This window comes from Homo sapiens, chromosome 1 (genome assembly GCF_000001405.40).
Source record: "Homo sapiens chromosome 1, GRCh38.p14 Primary Assembly".
Taxonomy (NCBI): Eukaryota; Metazoa; Chordata; class Mammalia; order Primates; family Hominidae; genus Homo; species Homo sapiens.
This window is the reverse complement of record NC_000001.11, coordinates 9,825,972-9,846,972: the sequence shown is the minus strand read 5'-3', so window position 1 is coordinate 9,846,972 and position 21,001 is coordinate 9,825,972. Positions and strand designations below refer to the sequence as shown.

General features: G+C 52.4%; 5 annotated features.

Moving 5' to 3' along the window:
- Positions 2,718–3,257: an enhancer, noted in NCBI's record as "H3K4me1 hESC enhancer chr1:9903774-9904313 (GRCh37/hg19 assembly coordinates)". NCBI's record gives its function as "activates a minimal SCP1, AML or CMV promoter by ChIP-STARR-seq in naive H9 embryonic stem cells {active_cell/tissue: H9 hESC(naive)}" and the evidence as "EXISTENCE:reporter gene assay evidence [ECO:0000049][PMID:30033119]".
- Positions 3,799–4,338: an enhancer, noted in NCBI's record as "H3K4me1 hESC enhancer chr1:9902693-9903232 (GRCh37/hg19 assembly coordinates)". NCBI's record gives its function as "activates a minimal SCP1, AML or CMV promoter by ChIP-STARR-seq in naive H9 embryonic stem cells {active_cell/tissue: H9 hESC(naive)}" and the evidence as "EXISTENCE:reporter gene assay evidence [ECO:0000049][PMID:30033119]".
- Positions 4,339–4,880: an enhancer, noted in NCBI's record as "H3K4me1 hESC enhancer chr1:9902151-9902692 (GRCh37/hg19 assembly coordinates)". NCBI's record gives its function as "activates a minimal SCP1, AML or CMV promoter by ChIP-STARR-seq in naive H9 embryonic stem cells {active_cell/tissue: H9 hESC(naive)}" and the evidence as "EXISTENCE:reporter gene assay evidence [ECO:0000049][PMID:30033119]".
- Positions 10,111–10,710: an enhancer, noted in NCBI's record as "H3K27ac-H3K4me1 hESC enhancer chr1:9896321-9896920 (GRCh37/hg19 assembly coordinates)". NCBI's record gives its function as "activates a minimal SCP1, AML or CMV promoter by ChIP-STARR-seq in naive H9 embryonic stem cells {active_cell/tissue: H9 hESC(naive)}" and the evidence as "EXISTENCE:reporter gene assay evidence [ECO:0000049][PMID:30033119]".
- Positions 10,711–11,312: an enhancer, noted in NCBI's record as "NANOG-H3K27ac-H3K4me1 hESC enhancer chr1:9895719-9896320 (GRCh37/hg19 assembly coordinates)". NCBI's record gives its function as "activates a minimal SCP1, AML or CMV promoter by ChIP-STARR-seq in naive H9 embryonic stem cells {active_cell/tissue: H9 hESC(naive)}" and the evidence as "EXISTENCE:reporter gene assay evidence [ECO:0000049][PMID:30033119]".

Below are 21,001 nucleotides of genomic sequence, written 5' to 3'. Positions count from 1 at the left end.
TGGGGACAGCCTTGGGTCTTTCGGGGTCCGTCAGCCCACACAGCAGGCAACCTCCTGGGTCACCTTCCCAGGTACGGGATGGGGTAATGACCCCAACAGGCAGCGCTGGGACTGCTGCAGCCAGAGACAGCAGGGGGCCAGGCTGAGCCTGCGGGGAAGGAGGCAGAGCTGCCGGAGACAGCAGGGGGCCAGGCCGAGCCTGGGGTGGGGAGGCTGAGGGCTGTGGCCCTTGGTGTTTCCCAGCCTTGGGGGGCGGGCAGTTGAGAATGAATGAAGCGCTTCTTCTCCCTGTCCCTGCAGGTGAATACCAGCACTGAGAATCCAGGCGGGCCCCAGCCTTTGAAGAGGGTCTTTTTAGCAGGGAATATGATCCCTTCCATTGGTGGTAGGGGGAACTCTGGCCCCAGGGGACCCCTGACACCACCCAGGTGCCGCCTTTGCTTGGGCAGGGCAGGTTCATTTCTCTCTCTCTCTCTCTCTGTCTTTATCTCTCTCCCTCCCTCTTCTGGGTTGCCCATGGCCACCCAACCCTTTTCATTTCCCGAAGGATAAAATGCACCCAGACTAACCGACTAACCTGAGGCTGTGCTGAGAAAACGTTTCCCCGCTCTGCACTGTCCACTGAAAGCACTTGATCTTCTGGGAAACAACTGATGTTCAGGAGATTTGGGGGGACTTGCAGGGCGAGTCCTATTAGGACTTTCTAATTTGAAGAAAGTCCTTCTCAAGGGACAAGGGCAGTGAAATGCCTTTTGAATATCAACTAGTGTCTTGCTTTCACTTTTCTCCCTGACATTGGAACTTCCCCATCACAGATGGTTCCCAGAAGGGCCTTCCAGTCCTGCCAGCACGGAAGTCATGAGCGTTCTTGATGCAGGGACGAGCCACGCCCTACCCACCCTGCCCCTGCTCCTCTTCCAGAGCCCCTAGGTTAGGGGTGTGTGCAACAGGTGGTCGTCCCTGTTTGCACACCTGTGGGAGCCCCGCCCCGCCCTGCGCAACCCCAGAGGAGGTGACTTCAGACCCAGAGCCTCTGAGAGTTTCCACTGCCTGACCCTTGGTCTTGACCATGCTGCTTCCAGTGGAAGGAGGTGGATCTTCACAAACATCTTTGACAGGTGTCTCCTATGTCTCGGTCTTTTTTTTTTTTTTTTTTTTGAGACAGAGTCTTGCTCTTGTCACCCAGGCTGGAGTGCAATGGCATGATCTCAGCTCATTGCAACCTCCACCTCCTCGGTTCAAGCAGTTCTCCTGCCTCAGCCTCCTGAGTAGCTGGGATTACAGGCACCCACCACCACACCCAGCTAATTTTTGTATTTTTAGTAGAGATGGGGTTTCACCATGTTGGCCAGGCGTGAGCCACCAGGCCCAGCCGTGTGTCCCAGTGTTAACAACACAGCTAATGTTGACTGGATGGTACCTGTGTGAAGGCGCATGCTCAGTCACGTGCGAGGTATGTTCCTAGGCTGCCCCGAAGCTCCCTGGGTCTGTCTGAAGCCTCCCATGCGGACCTAGCACTTCACCTCCAAGCTAAGCTGATTTTGCCAGAGTTCCTCTTCCACTTTAAATCTTCGAGGACTGTTTGACCCCACAGCCTAAATCTTTATGTCCACATAGCTGGGGGCTGGGGAGACATCATGGTTTAGAGTGGGAACTGTGGAGGCCAACTGGAGGCAGGACTGAATCTGTCACTTGGCAGCTGTGTGACTTGGGGTGAATGATGAACCTTATTGAAAAAAATGGAAAAAATAAGAGCATCAGGGCCAGAGGTTGTTGGTGACAACTAATGAGATGATGCATATGACACGCTTAGCAGAGTGACCTGCGACCAGTGGGGGGTCAGGACATAAGGTCATTGTTAAGTCACCATAGTGGGTTCTCTCCACCCCATCCTCTCTACTCAAAAGTCACACAGAGCGAGGACTTGTCAGCAGCCTTTGGTGTGGGGAGGAGCACAGCCCCAGGTCCTGCGAGGTGCTTAGAAAATGCTTCTTTGATGAGGATGAAGGAGCCCAGATGATCCCTTTGTAGAAGCCAAGGCCAGAGCTGCCTCCAGCTCCCCAGCCCCTGCCCTGAGCCTCTCCCTCTGCTGAGCCGCTTTGCCTCGGGGACGGGGGCTCACTGGAGCAGAGCCCCTCCGCCTTCCCCAAAACCTGCCAGCTGAGAAGGGTGTCCCCTCAGGGTGGACTCTGTCATGGCTGGACAGGCAGGGAGGGACCTCGGCAGAGCCTGGGGGTGGGAGTCTTGTTTTCCAGGGACCCTCCTGCTCGCCTCGTGCTTAAACTCCAAATAGAATCACAGCCAGTCAGGAAAGGGGATAAAATTAAATCCTTGATCATGATCAAGTGGTTAAAAAAAACCCATCACAGCCAGCGGCTCCTTCTCACTGCAGCCGGCTCTGCCTCAGAGCAAATAGGAGGAGGAGGAAGAGGAGGAGGAAGACAGAGCCATCTTGGGCCCCAGCACCCCTCCCTCCCGGCCAGCCCCTCCTCCTGCCTTCCCAGCCCCCCAGGGCCCCAAGACTCCGCACCCCTCACCCCAAAGATGGGGAGGCTGGGAGGGTGGCTGCTGTGGGGGGAGGCCCACATCCTGCCCAAGGAGGCAGGGCCTGGGCTCCGAGCTCCGGAACTGCAGACCTGGGATCGAATCCAGACTCTGCCAATGACTGTGTCGTGGGCAAATCACTCGATGTTTCCGAGCCTGTTTCCTAATCTGGAACGTGGGAACAGTCATGGCAACTGCCTCATTGGCTGTTGTCTGGATTCAGTGGGTGGGCACCGGCAGTGGTGAGCCAAGGGTGGGGGGACACGGACGGGGGAGCAGCCTGCCTGGGGTTCAGGCAATAAGGGGGTGTATTGTCTGGAGAGAATTTCAAAACACTAAAACTGACAGTCTGGTCTGCTTTCTTTCTTTTGCCTCCATGCCCAGGCTACTCTAGCCCTAGGACAGAGCATGGCCACCCCCAACACTTGACATCTTTGGGCAAGAGGCCAGGCTGCTGACTCAGGACATAGGTCTAGGTGGGCCCAGCTGAGAGATGCCCCCATGGCAGTGGGTGATGCCCCGTGACCCCTCAGTGCCGCTTCCCAGCCTCAGGCCTCCATCTGCAGAACAGGAAGAGGCCACAGCTCCTCACCTTGGGCCCTGGCTGCACCCTAGGCCCTGGCCTCCTCTGCGCAGCCCCTGAGGGGTGGTGGAGTCCCGAGCTGCCAGCACCTGGCAGGGCGGAGCCTGCAGAGCCTGCAGAGCTGGAGGTCTGCAGTGTGCCCGGAGGGAGGACTGAGGTGTACCTTGGCTGGGGAGTTAGGAAGCTGCCAGAGGAAACAATGAGGCTATAAAAATAGCCCTTTGTTTACCGTAGGTGCACATCCTTGTGTATCCTTGTGTGAAAGGGGCTGGCTTGGTGGAGGGGCTGAGCTTCCAGTTGGGGAAGGGACCTGGCGGAGTCAGTAGTGGGGCGGAGTTGGGGGGCCCATCCACCCCCCCCTGCAGTGCCCAGGTAGCCTCCCCAGGTAGCATCTGATGGCCTCACTGGCCTGAGGTGGCCCCTCCAGCCAGGCCTATGGTGTGGCTGTACCTGTGCTCCCTCAGCAAGGCTCAGCCCCAGCCCCCAGCCCAGAGGCCTGTGGCGGCCCTGCCCACCCTCCCAGGCCCAGCTCGGACTGCCCCTGCCAGCTTGTCCCTTGGGAGTCAGTCCGGGGCTGGTCCTGCATCCCAGGGTAGAACCCTGCCACGCAGTCTATAGACTTCTCCGACCGATTCAGCCCTCCACCCCATCAGGAGGGCTGAGACTGTAGAGAGGCCATACCCTGGGAGGCGCAGCCCGGACTCTGCCCCTCAGGGTTCTATCTGGAACCTTCCTTCCTAGCTCTCGCAGCTCCTCCCAGCGCCTCCGGCTGGTTTTGGAGGTGAGCCCTGAGCCATCTGGCTGCCTCCCAGGACTCCTCCAGGCACTGCGAGAGTTAATCAGCCCAGCCTGTGCCAGCTGGGCCCCTGCCGGGCATTGAGCCCATCAGGAAATGCTGGCTGAGGACCTACTGGGCGCTGGGCTGGGAAGTGAGATGCGGGGCTGAGGCTGCTGGACAGGACTGATGTGCAAATAGGCAGCAACGGTGCAGGGCCCTGCAGGAAGAGAACATCCGTGCCAGGGAGCTGGAGCGGGTGGCCCCAGGCTCACCTGTAGGGGGCTGAGGTGGTTGGGAGGGTCCCTTAGAGTTCCTGCACCTGCCCAGGGTGGTGAGGGGCACACTTCTCCTTGGCTTGTGATGTGGCTCATGGGGCAGTCAGGGCAGGGTGGCCAGAGGCCTCTGGGTCCACTGGGGACCATTGGTCCCTGACACTTCTCTGGCAGCTGGACTCAGAGAGGGCGGGAGGCTTGCTCATTTCTGTCTTGGGCTTGCTTGTTTCTGCAGCAGAGCCTGCCTCTTTTGAGCACTCAGGTTGCACCGGTGGTCTCTGGAGCCCCTGAGGTCACATGGTGCCAGCTCTTGCCGTTCTGTTCCCAGTCTAAGGGTTCTCCCAAAAGGTCGTGTCTGAGAGCCAGTTGCTTTTTCTGGCACCTTCCCAGGGAGGACCCCTGGGAAGCAGCTTCGGAAGCAGAACATGTTAGGAGGGCAATTTGTCAGGACGAGCCTGGGAGGTTAGGCTCGAACCTGGCAGCTGCCCAGGCCCTGCTGTGGTTCCTGCTTAAGCTGCTGATGCAGCTGCCAGGGCCGGGCGGGGCTTGCTCTTCCCACCCCCTCCCCAAGCTATGTGGTCTATGTGAGGCCCAGACATTGGTCCTAAGGGAGAAGAAGGGCAAGAAGGGGTGTCCTAGTTCCCTGGGTGGTAACCAGGGGATTCACCCCATCCCTCCTCTGAGATGCTGGGAGGATGAGCAGATGCTGGTGTGCAGAAGGGGCCAAGAGGCTTAGGAGATTAAGCTATTAGTGGTCATTAGGTAGTGGAGGAGGCTGGGCAGTGTGGGGAGGGGAGGGCGGCACGGCAGACAGTGCTTGTCCAGGAGCCCAGGTGGGTCTACAGCCCACTCTGCCACTCACCCTGGGTAACTCCATCGTGTGTGTCTGAGCCTCCAGGGGGCTGTGGGAGTCATTAATGTTGTTCCCCAGAAATTCCCAGCTCTTTGCCTTCCAGGCCCTTAATGGGATTGTATTTCCCCACCCACTTTAGTTTGAGTGTGGCCCTAACTTGCTTTAGCCAATGAAATGTGGGCAGAAGTGAGAGCCATTTTATAATGTTCCAGAAGCAGCTGCCCCATCAGCCTGAGTCCTGGCCACGAGCAACAGAGGAAGCATGTTGTTTCATGCCTTGGGCATCTTGGGCCTGCTTGTTTCTGCAGCAGAACCTGCCTCTCCTGACCACTCAGGTTGCACCAGCGATCTCTGGAGCCCCTGAGGTCATGTGGTGCCAGCTCTTGCTGTTCTGTTCCCAGTCCAAGGGTTCCCCCAAAAGGTCATGACTGAGAGCCACTTGCTTTTTCTGGCATCTTTGGCATCACAAGTAAGGCTGTCCTGGTCCCCACCCTGGACCCTGCAAGGCAGACCTGCCTTTTGCTCTTAGGACTCAATCTGCCCTTCTTGGCATGCGCAGCCCAAGGCCGTGGTGATAGGGCTCCTGTTAATCCGACCTCATCTCTGTCGTCCCCCTGTTCTTCCCACTCCAGCCACCAGCCTCCTTTTGTTCCTCAGATGCTGAGCTTCTCCCACCTTGGGGCTTTGGTACCTGCTGTTCCTTTGCCTGGAATGTTCTTCCTCTATGGCTGAATCCTTCTCCATGTTCAGATGTCAGCTCCAATGTCACCCCCTCAGAGTGTTCACCCTGACCACCCTATTTTGCTTTCCACTCTTTTTTTGACTGTCACCCAGGCTGGAGTGCAGTGGCATGATCTCGGCTCACTGCAACCCCCACCTCCTGGGTTCAAGCGATTCTCCTGCCTCAGCCTCCCGAGTAAGTGGGACTACAGGCAGGTACCACTGTGCCTGGCTAATTTTTGTATTGTTAGTAGAGATGGGGTTTCGCCATGTTGGCCAGGCTGGTCTTGAACTCCTGACCTCAAGTGGATCCATCTGCCTCGGCCTCCCAAAGTGCTGGGATTACGGGCATGAGACACCGCGCCCAGCCTTGCTTTCCACTCTGTAACACACTCCCGTTTTCCTGTTTTATTTTTTTATTCATGAATTTCTTTGTTTACTTGTTTATGTTTCACTCCTCACGCTAGAAGCCAAGTTGCATGGTTGGATCTTGTCTGGCTTCTTCACTGCCATGTCCTCGGCACCTGACATATAGTGGGCTTTCCACAAGGGCTCGGTAAATGACTGAATCATCCTGACTTTTGAGTGGCTTCTCTGCTGAACCCTCTGTGGCCCACAGGTACCCTGATCCTATTTTCTGAACCAAAGTGGTGCTGACAACAAGGAAATCCAGGATCTAGAGAGGAGTGCATCCTGTTGGCTTTACTGGCTCATGTTCCTTAGGGGATGTTTCAGTGGGGCTGGGCCCTGGCACCGCGTGGCACCCTGAGCCTGTCTTGGCTGATAAATCAATTCTGGGCTGCTGAAGGGGCTTGAGGACTTGTCTGGGCAGACTTTTTGGTTTGACTAGGATTACAGACAACAGAAACCCAACTCCAGCTGGCTCTCATCTCTGGAAGTGTTTCAAGGTAGCTCACAGGATTAAGGCAATTGTGCAGGGATCCGGGCCTCAGGGACCAGGGCCTGAGGGACTGCTTCCCAAACACCCTCTCCCTTTAGGACCATTTATTCTGTTTCTTCTTGACTCTGCCTGTTGGCCTCATTATCTCCTATGACAGACTGGCATCTCCTCCTATGGGGAGACATGGCCCCTGGCAACTTCAGCAGAAAGGAGGCTGTTCTCCCAGCGCCAAAAACAATCCCAGGGTGATCTCTGATTGACTCCTGACCACAGATGATCCGCCCACCTTGGCCTCCCAAAGTGCTGGGATTACAGGTGTGAGCCACCCCACCCAGCTGACGGAGCCCTTTTTGAATATTTGGTGGAATACCTCATGAAAACTGCTGGTGTGAATAAAGAAAACTAGATGTATATCAGAGGTCTTAGTTGAAGTCTGAGCTCTGCTATTTATGGGTATGTGACTTCTCTGAGCCTCAGTTTCCCCATCTATAAAATGGGTGTTAATACCAACTTCCGGCCAAGTGCAGTGGCTCGTGTCTGTAATCCCAACACTTTGGGAGGCCAAGGTGGGTGGATTGCTTGAGCCTAGGAGTTCAAGACCAGCCTGGGCAACAGGGCGAGACCTTGTCTCTACAAAAAATACACAAATTAGCTGGGCGTGGTAGCACACGCCTGTAGTCCTAGCTACTCTGGAGGCTGAGGTGGGAAGATTGCTTTAGCCCAGAAGGTCAAGGCTGCAGTGAGGCGGTGATCATGCCACTACACTCCAGCCTAAGTGACAGAGTGAGATCCTGTCTCAAAAAAGAAAAAAAGTCAACTTCCGTAAGTTGTTATAAGTACGGAATGAGAAGAGATCTTTGATAGGAATCCTGTCGGTTGTAAAGCACTGCACAGATACCTATTATAATTAGTTTAACTTGGAAAATAACATATACTCTGTTTACAGGGCAGGTAACCCTCTGCCATCAGGATTAGGAGACAAAGGGGAAAGGAAGGGATGAATCCAGGATTGGCAGGGCCAGGTGACTACTTAGCGAAGGGTGCAGAGGGGAGAAGGGACTCCAGCAGCCATGCCCTGGAGAACAAAGACCTAGGGACTGGGAGAACAGAGGTGGCATTGATGGGCAAACCCCGGGGAGATGCCGAAGAGCAGTTACTATGGCAGCCGATCTCTCATCGTGACTTCTAGACAGACAGCAACGCGGGGCCCCACCCCTGCTTCCGTGTCCCACCTGGCAGACACTGCCTGCGACAGAGGTGGGTCTACTAGTTTGCTAGGGCTGTTGTAACAAAGTACCACACACTGGGTGGCTGACACAACAGAAACTCGTCTTCTAACAGTTCTAGAGGCTGGAGGTTTGAAATCAACATGTCAGCACGGGCCGGGCATGGTGGCTCATACCTGCAGTCCTAACGTTTTGGGAGGTCAATGCGGGTGGATTGCTTGAGCCCAGGAGTGTGAGACCCTATCTCTACAAAACATTAAAAACTTAGCTGGGTGTGGTGGCGTGCACCTGTAGTCCCAGCTATTTGAGAGGCTGAGGTACCGTGCCCCTGTACTCCAGGGTGATAGAGCGAGACCCTGTCTCAAAACAAAAACAAAAACAAAAACGAAAGGTCAACAGGGTCCGTTCTTTCTTTTTATCTTTTATTTATTTATTTTTGAGATGGAGTCTCGCTCTGTCACCCAGGCTGGAGTGCAGTGGCGCGATCTCCGCTCACTGCAATCTCTGCCCCCCAGGTTCACGCCATTCTCCTGCCTCAGCCTCCCAAGTAGCTGGGACTACAGGCGCCTGCCACCAAACCCGGCTAATTTTTTTTGTATATTTAGTAGAGACAGGGTTTCACTGTGTTAGCCAGGATGGTCTCGATCTCCTGACCTCGTGATCCGCCCCCCTCGGCCTCCCAAAGTGCTGGGATTACAGGCATGAGCCATCGCTCCCGGCCCGTTCTTTCTTTTTAAAATTTATTTATCTGTTCATTTTTTGGAGACAGGATCTCACTCTGTCACCCAGGCTGGAGTGCAGTGGTGCAATCTCGGCTCACTGCAACCTCCGCCTCCCGGGTTCAAGCAATTCTCCTGCCTCAGCCTCTCGAGTAGCCGGGACTACAGGCACCTGCCACTGTGCCCAGCTAATTTTTGTATTTTTAGTAGAGATGAGGTTTCCTCATCTTGCCCAGGCTGGCCTCAAACTCCTGGGCTCATATGATCTGCCGGCCTTAGCCTCCCAAAGTGCTGGGATTACAGGCATGAGCCACTGCGCCCAGCCTTAAAATTTTCTCTTTTTCTTTCTCTTTCTTTTTCTTTCTTTCTTTCTTTCTTCTTCCTTTCCTTTTCTTTCGTTCTTTCCTTCCTTCCTTCCCTCCTTCCTTCCTCCCTTCCTCCTTTCCCTTCCTTCCTCTTTCTTTCCTTTCTTTCTTTTCTTTCTTCTCTCTCTCTCTTTCCTTTCTTTATTGCTCTCTCCCTCTTTCCTTTTTTCTCTCTCTTTCTTTCATTCTACATTCAGACTCCCAAGCAGTAATTGGCTCCTTCTGAGGGCTGTGGGGAAGGTGTCCCGGGCCGCTCTCCTTGGCTTGTGTGCAGATGGCCGTCTTCCTATGTCTTTTCATGTTGTCTTCCCTCTGTGAGTGTGTCCTAACCTCCTAACCTCTCTTTTTTTTTTTTTTTTTTTGAGATGGAGCTTGCTCTGTTGCCCAGGCTGGAGTGCCGTGGCACTATCTCAGCTCACTGCAAGCTCTGCCTCCCAGGTTCATGCCATTCTCCTGCCTCAGCTTCCTGAGTAGCTAGGACTACAGGCATCCGCCACCACGCCTGGCTAATTTTTTGTATTTTTAGTAGAGATGGGGTTTCACCATGTTAGCCAGGATGGTCTCGATCTCCTGACCTTGTGATCCGCCTGCCTTGGCCTCCCAAAGTGTTGGGATTACAGGCGTGAGCCACCGTGCCCGGCGCTAACCTCCTCTTTTTATAAGGACACCAGTCCTATTAGATTAGGGATCACCCTAATGACTGCATTTTAACTTGATAACCTCTGTAAAGACCCTGTTTTGAAATAAGGTCACATTCTGTGGTAGTGGGGGTTAAGACTTCAACATCTAAGTTTTGGGGGGGAACATAATTGAACCCATATAACATTGGACATTCTCCTCACGGGTATCCCCCTCCCTCTCACCAGCTCGAACTCCCTGGCCGAAAGCATGTGGCTTACGACCTGCCGGAAGAGAAACGGACCCCATAATTGTGTTAATTGCCAGAATACCAGATCTGCAATTAATATGCCACAGAACAAAGAACAAATCCACTAATCGCACATAATTGGACCTAAACCACACCCTCTGCAGAGCCTTGCAACGGAGCTCCACTGTTTATGCCCCTTTTCAAATTAGCAAAGATGAACAAATTCCCATCCGTTTCCCCTTCATCCTGCTCAGGGCAAATCTCCGGGGGAGGCTCAGAGGAGGGGACGGATAAGACAGTGGGGCACCCTGGTTGGATCCTGTCCAGAGCCAGGCACCAAAGCCTGGCCTTTTTGGCTAGAGGCAAGATAAAGGTGTCCAAGGGCCTCTTAGCTTCAGGCTGCAGAAGCGAGGTTTCCAGAGCCTTCTGCAAGTCCTGACACTGTGGCAGCCTGACTGGGGCCTTGGCAGACACCTGGCGCAGGGAGGAAGTGATTCAGGTGCTCTGGGGGTTGTTCTCTGTGGCACGGTGTGACTCACATACAGGTGAGGACTATTTGGGGGCCCTGGGGCAGGTCTGGGTTGGCTTTGGAGACATGACGCTCAGGGCTGCCATCTCTCCTCATCCCTAGAGTGGCAGACAGGTCCAGGGGCAGATGGCCAAATGCTGTAGCACAATGCTCATGTCCCTTCTTCCTGGTGCCCGTCTCAGCAGCAGGCCTGAGTGCTCTGTGTTTCCATGGCCCCAGAGACAGGCTATCTGGAGACTGTCCTGCCCGTGCTTGCCTCCTGCAGCTGGAAGGTGGCCTGCTCAGGCCTGGAAGCTGGCACTAGCTGTGATCTTAACATGCAGCACCTCCTGCCCAGCGCTGGCACCAGGCAGAGCCTCCCCCGCCCTCCACCATGTGTGGAGGCTCCTTGCCCTCGGCCTGCCCATCTGCCTCCTCCTTCAGCTCCCTGGCTTGGCTGCAGCAGACCAGGGACAGAATGAGGCTTCAGCCTGCAGCTCAGGTGGTCTTTCTTCACCCACTCGGCACAGCTCCAAGCTGGGCCTGTGCTGCCAAGGACCAGGGGAGGAAGGAGATTCACAGACTCCTCCACACCACCCCTCTCCGGGCCACTAGGTCATCCCTACTTCCCGTGGTCTGGGCAGAGTGGGAGGGGCCCATGTTGCTCCAGCGCACTTCCAGTTTGCCTCCCTGCCTTTCCCAGGCTGCTCCGGGCTCCTCCCTGGCTCCTGCTAAGCCAGCTGCAGGGAGGCTCATTGAGAATTCTCGGAGCCCCATCCACTGGCTGTCAGGGGAGAAGCCTGTCTTCCTCAGACCGGCAGTCTTCTCATTTGCATCCCCTAAATCAATGCCCTCTGATGATCAAAGTCCCAGCGCTGCAACTTCAATGAGGCCGGCTGAGCGAGAAGGGAGAGGAGGCAGGAATCACCCTCCCTCCTGCTGCCCCTTCAGGCCCAAGGGGAACTGGAAAGCAGAGGCCTTGGGGGGTCCCTGGCAGCGGGGTGCACACAGGAGTAGAAGCAGAGACGTCCCTCCCTGGGTAAGCGTTTCCTTCGCAGCTTTTCCCGCAGGCTGGACAGGGAATGGGGCAGTGGCAGGCCCTTGTCAACAAGGCTTGCTGGGACGTTCTGGGCCCCAGATCAGGCATCTGGAGATGCCTGGGGGCGTGGGTCAGGTCCACAGGGAGGGTAGGCTCTGGGAGGAAGGCACCTAGCTGGGTCTCCCTCATCAGAGACCCAGGGACTCAGTCCTCAGTGACTCAAAGAACTAGAAGGATTTGGCCAGGTAGAGGGCAGAGGAGAGGAGGAGGGTCAGCCACATCTACCCTGTCCATGCCCTGGGGGTTGTGGGATGCCCAGTAACGGTCCTAGCTAGAATGAGAGCCACCGTTCACTGAGCACTCGCAGTGGGCTGGACACCTCGGACACCTGCATTTCATGTGTTGTGTTGTTGCTGTTTTTTATAATTTTTTTTTTTTTTGAGACGGAGTCTCGCTCTGTTGTCCAGGCTGGAGTGCAGTGGTACGATCTCAGCTCACTGTACCTCCACCCTCTGGGTTCAGGCGATTCTCCTGCCTCAGCCTCCCAAGTAGCTAGGACTACAGGCATGCACCACTACACCTGGCCGATTTTTGTATTTTTAGTAGAGACGGGGTTTCACCATGTTAGCCAGGCTGGTCTTAAACTCCTGATCTCAAGCGATCCGCCCACCTCGGACTCCCAAAGTGCTGGGGTTACAGGCACGAGCCACCGTGCCCAGCCCTTGCTTTATCATATTTAATCTACACAACATCCCTATGAGGCCCGTGTCATTACTATCGCATTTTATAGATGAGGAAATAGACAAGAGAAGCCACAGAACTAGGAAGTAGCAGAGCCAGGGTTAAATGAGAGAAAGTTCGAGAAGGGTGTGAACACCTGAAAGGGCTGCTTGCAAGTGAGGAGGCATGTCTGCACGAGTGTGAGTGCGTGCTCTGGCTTGGGATGATCAAGACAGGTTTGTCCTTGCATAGAGAGGACTTCCTGGCAGCCTACGGTCAGGGACCCCCCTCCCGCCACTGCTCCATCCCAGTGTCTTGGCTCCACTCTGACACTCACCATAGCATGAGTTCTCAGAGCTGGAGGGGGCTATCAAACAGGATGGACACCAGCAGCCAAGCAGTTCTTCCACCTTGGTGCCCCTCTGTCTTCTCATGGCCTTGCAGAAACGTTCACCATCAGAGCAGTAATGTGGGGAAGAGCGTCGGCTTTAGGGCCGCGGATCTAGGTTTGAATCCTGGCTTTACCACTTTGCTGTGTGATTTTGGGCAAATCGCATAACCTCTCTGAGCCCCAGTGTACTCTTCTGTAAAATAAGGATACTAATTGTATTCATAAGGCTAGGCACAGTGGCTCACACCTGTAATTCCAGCACTTTGGGAGGCAGAGGTGGGTGGATCACTTGAGGCCAGGAGTTCAAGACCAGCTTGGCCAACATGGTGAAACCCCATCTCTACTAAAAAGACAAAAATTAGCCAGGTGTGGTGGCAGGCGCCTGTAGTCCCAGCTACTAGAGAGGCTGAGGCAGGAGAATCACTTGAGCCTGGGAGGCAGAGGTTGCAGTGAGTCAAAATTTTGCCACTGCACTCCAGCCTGGATGACACAGCGAGACTCCATCTCAAAAAAAATTAATAATAATAATAGTATTCATTGCATGGGATTGCTACCAGCATGAAATCAGAAATGAATGTAGATTGTTTCCTGGAGGGCTAGCCCACAGAACAATGTGTGGGCTGTATTTGTATTTCTAGATCTCTAGGGGTGGGGTGGGTGTTAATCCCTGTCACCCAGAAGAGGAAGGAGGAAAAAGAGCTGTGTCTGCAAACAACTACATGAGCGGGGGGCTGGAGAGGACTAGACGTCCTGAAGTCTGGCTCTGATTTTTACTGCAGTTTTCTGGCCTAGGGAGCTTCAAGGTCAAGGAAAAAGCACCAAAAAGCCAGAGAAGCCTCATCTGAGGCCTGGCTATGGTACTTCTAAGCTGGAAGGTCTTTTTTCAGAGACAGGGTCTTGCTTTGTCACCTAGGCTGGAGTGCAGTGGTGCCATCATAGCTCACTGCAGCCTTGAACTCCTGGGCTCAAGTGATCCTCCTGCCTCAGCCTCCCGAGCAGCTGGGACTACAGGCACCTGCTACCATGCCCAACTAACTTTTTTTTTTTTTTTTTTTGGTAGAAATGAGGTTTCACTATATTGCCCAGGCTGGTCTTGAACTCCTGGCCTCAAGATATCCTTCCGTCTCAGCCTCATCAAAGAATTAAGATTACTGGTGTGAGCCACTGTCCTTGGTCAGTTGAATGGTCTTGACAAGCCACTCAACCCCTCTAAACTCCTGCTTCCCACCAGTTAAAGGGGAATGATAAGAACCTCCATCCAGGAGATTACTGTTAGACCAAAATGCATATAGATGCTCTTTGAAACAGGGAGTATGCTTACAAATGCAAATGCTGATGTGCTACATGATAGTAGTTATAATAGCATCATCATCTCCTTAGACTGACTTTCTTTCTTTTTTTTTTTTCTGAGACAGAGTCTCCCACAGTCACCTAGGCTGGAGTGCAGTGGCGCAATCTCAGCTCATTGCAACCTCTGCCTCCCGGGTTCAAGCCATGCTCCTGCCTCAGCCTCCCAAGTAGCTGGGATTACAGGTGCCCGCCACTACTCCCGGCTAATTTTTGTATTTTTAATAGAGATGGGGTTTCACCATATTGACCATGGGTGGCCAGGCTGGTCTCAAACTCCTGACCTCAGGTGGCCGCCCGTCTCAGCCTTCCAAAGTGCTGGGATTACAGGCATGGCCACTGTGCCCATCTCCTCCTTAGACTTTTCTTTTCTTTCTTTCTTTTTTTTTTTTCAGAGATGGAGTCTTGCTCTGTTACCCAGGCTGGAGTGCAATGGCATGATCTTGGCTCACTGCAACCTCCACCTCCTGGGTTCAAGCAATTCTCCTGCCTCAGCCTCCTGAATAGCTGGGACTACAGGCATGTGTCACCACGCCCAGCTAATTTTTGTATTTTTAGTAGAGATGGGATTTCTCCATGTTGGTCAGGCTGGTCTCGATCTCCCGACCTCAGGTATTTGCCTGCCTTGGCCTCCCAAAGTGCTGAGATTACAGGCGTGAACCACCACACCTGGCCTAGACTTTTTTTTTCCTTATTTATTTATTTTTTTGAGATGGAGTCTCGCTCTATTGCCCAGGCTGGAGTGCAGTGGTGCTATCTTGGCTCACTGCAAGCTCTGCCTCCCAGGTTCACGCCATTCTCCTGCCTCAGCCTCCTGAGTAGCTAGGACGACAGGCGCCCACCACCACGCCCGCCTAAATTTTTTTTTGTATTTTTAGTAGAGACGGGGTTTCACCGTGTTGGCCAGGATGGTCTTGATCTCCTGACCTCGTGATCCGCCCGCCTTGGCCTCCCAAAGTGCTGGGATTACAGGTGTGAGCCACCGCGCCTGGCCCGGCCTAGACTTTTCAAAGTACACCCACATATATCACCACCACCACCATCACTGTAAGAGCAATCACCTAACTGGGCATCTACTTGTGTCAAACGCTGAGCTAAACGCTTTATCTGTATCCTCTCACTTAATACAACAATCTAAAGGAGGTATTATTATTATTATTATTATTATCTGGACGGAGTTTTGCTCTTGTTGCCCAGGCTGGAGTGCAATGGCGTGATCTCAGGTTCAAGAGATCCGCCTCCCAGGTTCAAGCAATTCTCCTGCCTCAGCCTCCCGAGTAGCTGGGACTACAGGCGCCCGCCACCACGCCCAGCTAATTTTTGTATTTTTAGTAGAGACAGGGTTTCACCATGTTGGCCAGGCTGGTCTCGAACTCCTGATCTCAGGTGATCCACCTGCCTCAACCTCCCAAAGTGCTGGCATTACAGGCATGAGCCACCACGCCTGGCCCAAGGAGGTATTATTATTTTGCCCATTTTACAGGTGAGGAAACTGAAGCTCAGAGTGATCAGGTTGTCTGGTCTTTTCTGCTAGTAACTGGAACCGAAGTCTATTTGAATCAAGGCCATATAAGACATTCCTCCTTTTTTTTTGTTTTTTAACCACCTTACCCAACAGCCTCCCCCAGTTCCAACATATTATGATAGAGCTATGGATAGAACCCAGGTCTCCTGACTCTAAGCTTGGTGCTGTTTTCTCTGTGCCATTTCCTCTGCAGTGTAGGGGAAGCCGTGACCCTTCTGCCTCAGGCTTTCCCTCCTCTCTTGCTCCTCCCTGCAAACCCAGCCCATTCTCTTGGCACTGGGGTGCTATGTGTGGATAGGCATGTCGTGTTTGGCTTGTGTATCCCCAGAGGCTAGGGATCACGTTTGCCTACATGTTGTGTGTGCTGTATATTGCGTTGGGGTGTATAATTCGTGCTGCAGAATAAAATAGCCGCCGCCTCCCCACCACCACACACACACACAAGGGACCTCCCCCAGCTGCCCATCCACAGAGGGAAGGGGAACATGCTGTGTGTTGCCTTTGGTTTTGCAGTGGGAGGCAGCATGAGCACAAAACCCCAATCCTCATCCCACCTTTCGGGGTGCAGACATGAGCTGCCTGGCCTCTGGGGAAGGTGAGGTTTTCTTTCTCTGGAAATTCACCAGCCAGCAATAGCTGATGCTTCATGCTTGGGAATGCCCTTAGTTCTTCCTTTGCAAATGGAGAGCCATAGAGAGCATTAGAAAGAGTCTGAAACAGGCTGGGTACGGTAGCTCACGCCTGTAATCCCAGCACTTTGGGAGGCCGAGGTGGGCGGATCCCCTGAGGTTGGGAGTTCAAGACCAGCCTGACCAACATGGAGAAACCCCAAATCTACTAAAAATACAAGAATTAGCTGGGCATGGTGGTGCATGCCTGTAATCCCAGCTACTTGGGAGGCTGAGGCAGGAGAATCGCTTGAATCCGGGAGGTGGAGGTTGCAGTGAGCCAAGATCATGCCACTGCACTCCAGCCTGGGCAAAACTGCATCTTAAAAAAAAAAAAAGATGGAGCGATTTTCCTGCCTCAGACTCCGAGTAGTTGGGATTACAGGCATGCACCACCACGCCCAGCTAATTTTTTTATTTTTAGTAGAGACGGGGTTTCACTATGTTGGGCAGGATGGTCTCGATCTCCTGACCTTGTGATCCACCCACCTCGGCCTCCCAAAGTGCTGGGATTACAGGTATGAGCCACCACACCCTGCCTGAAGTGCCCCTTCTTAAGTTAGGGTTGCTGCCACTGCCACAGTAGCTTAAGGCTCCTAGCCATGAACAATAATGGGTGCTAGTAACAGCAGGTGCTGGTTAACACCTGCTTCTAGGAATGGGCCCTGTGCTCTGCTTTTTGCACATCACCTCATCTGTTCCTCACAACCACCCAGTGGGGAGGGCTTGTCTCTGTTTTACAGATGGAGATGCTGAGATTGGAGAGGTGAAGGGCCTTACCCAAGGTCACACAGGTAGAAAGAGGCAAAAATGGCAAAAGGTACAAAAAGGCTTCACTGCAGGCCGGGCGCGGTGGCTCACACCTGTGATCCCAGCACTTTGGGAGGCTGAGGCGGGCGGATCACGAAGTCAAGAGTTTGAGATCAACCTGGCCAACATGGTGAAACCCCGTCTCTACTAAAAATACAAAAATTAGCTGGGTGTGGTGGCGCGTGCCTGTAGTCCCAGCTACTCGGGAGGCTGAGGCAAGAGAATCGCTCACTTGAACCCGGGAGGCAGAGGTTGCAGTGAGCCAAGATCACGCCGCTGCACTCCAGCATGGCCAACAGAGCGAGACTGCGTCTCAAAAAAAAAAAAAAAAAAAAAAAGGCTTCACTGCAGCATTCCATAAAAACAAAAAATTGGAAACGACCCATCAACAGGGGAAAAATATTCCTCAATAAGGGGCACTGATTAAATAAACTCTGCTAAGTCCACGCGGGACAGCACTACGAAGCTAGGAAAACAAATGCTGAGCCGGGTGTGGGGGTTGCACACCTGAAGTCCCAGTGAGTCAGGAGGCTGAGGCAGGAGGATCGCTTGAGTCCAGGAGTTTGAGGCTGCAGTGAGCTATGATCAATGATCACCACTGTACTCCAGCCTGGGTGACAGAACAAGACCCTGTTTTTTTTTTTTTTTTTTTTTTAAAAAAAGACTGTTTGTACTACATACTGCAATGGTATGATCTCCAGGATGTTTTATGAAGTAAAAAAGGCAAGATACAGAGTAGCAGGTATGATTTGCTGCCTTTTAGCTAAGAAAAGGGAAAGACATATATACAACTATTTGCTTGTACTTAAAAAAAAGAAACACAATGGAAATATAAACTAAAAATAGAAGAAATGGTAACCTATAAAGGAAGGAGGATATAGGGAGGAGGAAACAGGAATAGATCTAGACTTCTCTGAACACCCTGCTTTCTAGATATGACTTTGGAGCCATGGAAATATATATATATAATTTTATTTTTTGAGACAGAGTCTTGCTCTGTTGCCCAGGCTGGAGTGCAGTGGTGCGATCTTGGCTCACTGCAAGCTCTGCCTCCCAGGTTCACGACATTCTCCTGCCTCAGCCTCCCAAGTAGCTGGGACTACAGGCGCCCGCCACCACACCCGGCTAATTTTTTGTATTTTTAGTAGAGATGGGGTTTCACCGTGTTAGCCAGGATGGTCTCGATCTCCTGACCTTGTGATCCACCCACCTTGGCATCCCAAAGTGCTGGGATTACAGGCGTGAGCCACCACACCCGGCCCCTATTTTAAAAAAAATTTTTTTTTTTTTTTAGACAGAGTCTCACTCTGTCACCCAGGCTGGAGTGCAGTTGGCTCACCGTAACCTCTGCCTCCTGGGTTCAAGCGATCCTCCTGCCTCAGCTCCCGAGTAGCTCGGATTACAGGCACCTGCTGGGCTAATTTTTTTTTTTTTTTTTTGAGATGGAGTCTCGCTCTGTTGCCCAGGATGGAGTGCAGTGGTGCGATCTTGGCTCACTGCAACCTCTGCCTCCCTGGGTTCAAGTGAGTCTCCTGCCTCAGCCTCCCGAGTAGTAGCTGGGACTACAGGTGCCCGCCACCACATCCAGTTAATTTTTGTATTTTTAGTAGAGACTAAACTTGGAGTTTTGCCAAGTTGGCCACGCTGGTCTCACACTCCTGACCTCTGGTGATCTGCCCACTTTGGCCTTTTTTTTTTTTTTTTTTGTATTTTTAGTAGAGACTGGGTTTTGCAGTATTGGCCAGGCTGGTCTCAAACTCCAGACCTCAAATGATCTGCCCGCCTTGGCCTCCCAAAGTGCTGGGATTACAGGCGTGAGCCACCGCACCCAGCCAAATATTTAATATACTATAAAGCAAAATTAAATTGAAATTTTACCAAAAGGAAGGAAGTGGACAGAAATGGATTTGCACCATTCTGTCCAACCAGAGTCCTTGCTCCTAAGCACAGCATCATTTTCCTTCTCGTTAATTATCCCTTTTAACAGCAACGAAATGACCTGGCCGGCACACGAGAACACAGAGATGAGGCCACACCTTGTAATTTCTGGGGTTCTGAGGGGGACCCTGGTGGTGGTTCTGGGTGCTGCGGTTCTTTCAGTAAAGAACTTCCAGGAGTTTCTAATCAGCTGCTTTCATCAAGATTCTCATAACCTTCTCCTGCTGCCGCTTTCAAGTGGGTTTGTTCCCGAGCACATTATTAGGAAAGCGGCTATAATAACTGCTTACCTGCCTCCGGCTCCGCTCCACAAACACCCGCCAAGCCCACACTGTGCAAAACAGTAGTAACACGCCCGCCTGAGAATGGCTCCGCGGCTCCGCATTGCTGCCTAAGAGCTTTCCTGCATGTGATCTCATTTCATCCTCACCGCAACTCCGGGCCGGGGAACTCATGTCCCCGGTGAGGAAGTCCAGGCTTGAGATCGGCCTCAACAGTCGGAGGTGGCAAAGCCAGGGCTTGCTCGAAGCCCCACCTTCTCACTGTTGGGGAGCAGGCTGACTCCAAGCTGTGGAATCCTGTGCAGGGGTTATTTTGGTATCTGTGGGGTAATTTCACACTGAGGCTAAGTCACCGTTTTGGGTTCAGATGGACATGAAATTGAATCTCAGGGATCCAACTTTCTAGCAATGTACTCTGGAGCAAATTTGGTATTTTCCTCATCTGTAAAATAGGAACAATAAAAGTACCTTTTTTTTTTTTTTTTTTTGAGTTGGAGTCTTGCTCTGTTAACCCAAGCTTCAGTGCAGTGGCGCCATCTTGGCTCACTGCAACTTCTGCCTCCCAGGTTCAAGTGATTCTCCTGCCTCAGCCTCCCAAGTAGCTGGGATTACAGGCACCTGCCACCGTGCTTGGCTGATGTTTGTATTTTTAGTAGAGACAAAGTTTTGCCACGATGGCCAGGCTGGTCTCAAACTCCTGGCCTCAAGTGGTCTGCCCGCTTCAGCCTCCCAAAGTGCTGGGATTACAGGCATGAGCCACTGTGCCTGGCCAAAAATACCTTCTGGAGAGTGTTGCTGGAGTTACAGATGATATGTTATTGTGATATGGTATCAGCAACAGTCATCTCAGAAGGTGCAGCATCTTGGAAAATTTTCTTGTGTGCGCTTCATCTACTGTCTCAGATAGAGTCACTATACATTCAAAAGTACAGATCTTCCTCCACTAGCTAACAAAGTCACCTCCTTATCCTCAAGTCTATGTTCCCAGTTCAGGATGGGCCTGGGTGATGCCTCATTCCCCATGGCTCCAGGGCCTCTGATGCTGCCACTTTGTCAGTGGCTGGCTCAGCTCAGGCAAGGCCCCTCTCCCAGCTAACCATAGCATAAGCCTGAATCGATCCCTGTCTCAGGGCCATTTGGAGGATTAACTAATCCATCATGGGGGAAACCTTTGAAATGTGCCAATGTGGCTGAGGCTATTGTCAGGCAGAGCAGAAACTGAGTTTACTGGTTCCCCCGTTTCCGAGACTTTCAAGCTGGACTCACTCTCATGTGGGTGAAATCCCAGCAGGTGCAGGTTGCACTGAGCTCACCAAGCCGTCTATCTGCCCCACCTGACGCTGGATCTTTTTGACCTATCTCTGTTTCTTTAAGGGACAGTAAGGGTGAGAAGATAAAGGGATCAGGATTCCAGACACTGAAGAGCTTTTGTTTGTGTTTTTAATAGAACTGAACACATTAAATTTCCCCTTTTGGCATCATCAGTCTATGGACTGAAAACATAGTTCTGAGATTATACCTTTCCGATTTTATGTTTTGCAAATCTCGAAGGTCCCTGGAAATCTACAGGGTACATCTTTTTTCACCCTCTGAGATGTGAGCTCCATAATAATAAAACCTAACTCAGCAATTCATTGAGTTCATCACTATTTATTGAGTACCTACTCTGATCGCTGGTATACTAGAAGCACAGAAGCCTTCTTCTTGAAGGGAAAAAGAAACTCATGTATCTAGAAACACCAGGCTCTATGTGGCACTTTCATTTATTTGCCACATAAAGCCTGGTATTTCTAGATCTATGTGGCATCATTTCATTTAATTCTCACAACTCTAAGAAGTACATATTGTTCCATTTCGCAGGTGAGGAGATTCTGAAAGTTCCATAACCTGGCCAAGGTCGTTTGCATTTGCAGAGGCCAGCACTGAAGTCCAGTCCCGTCTGACT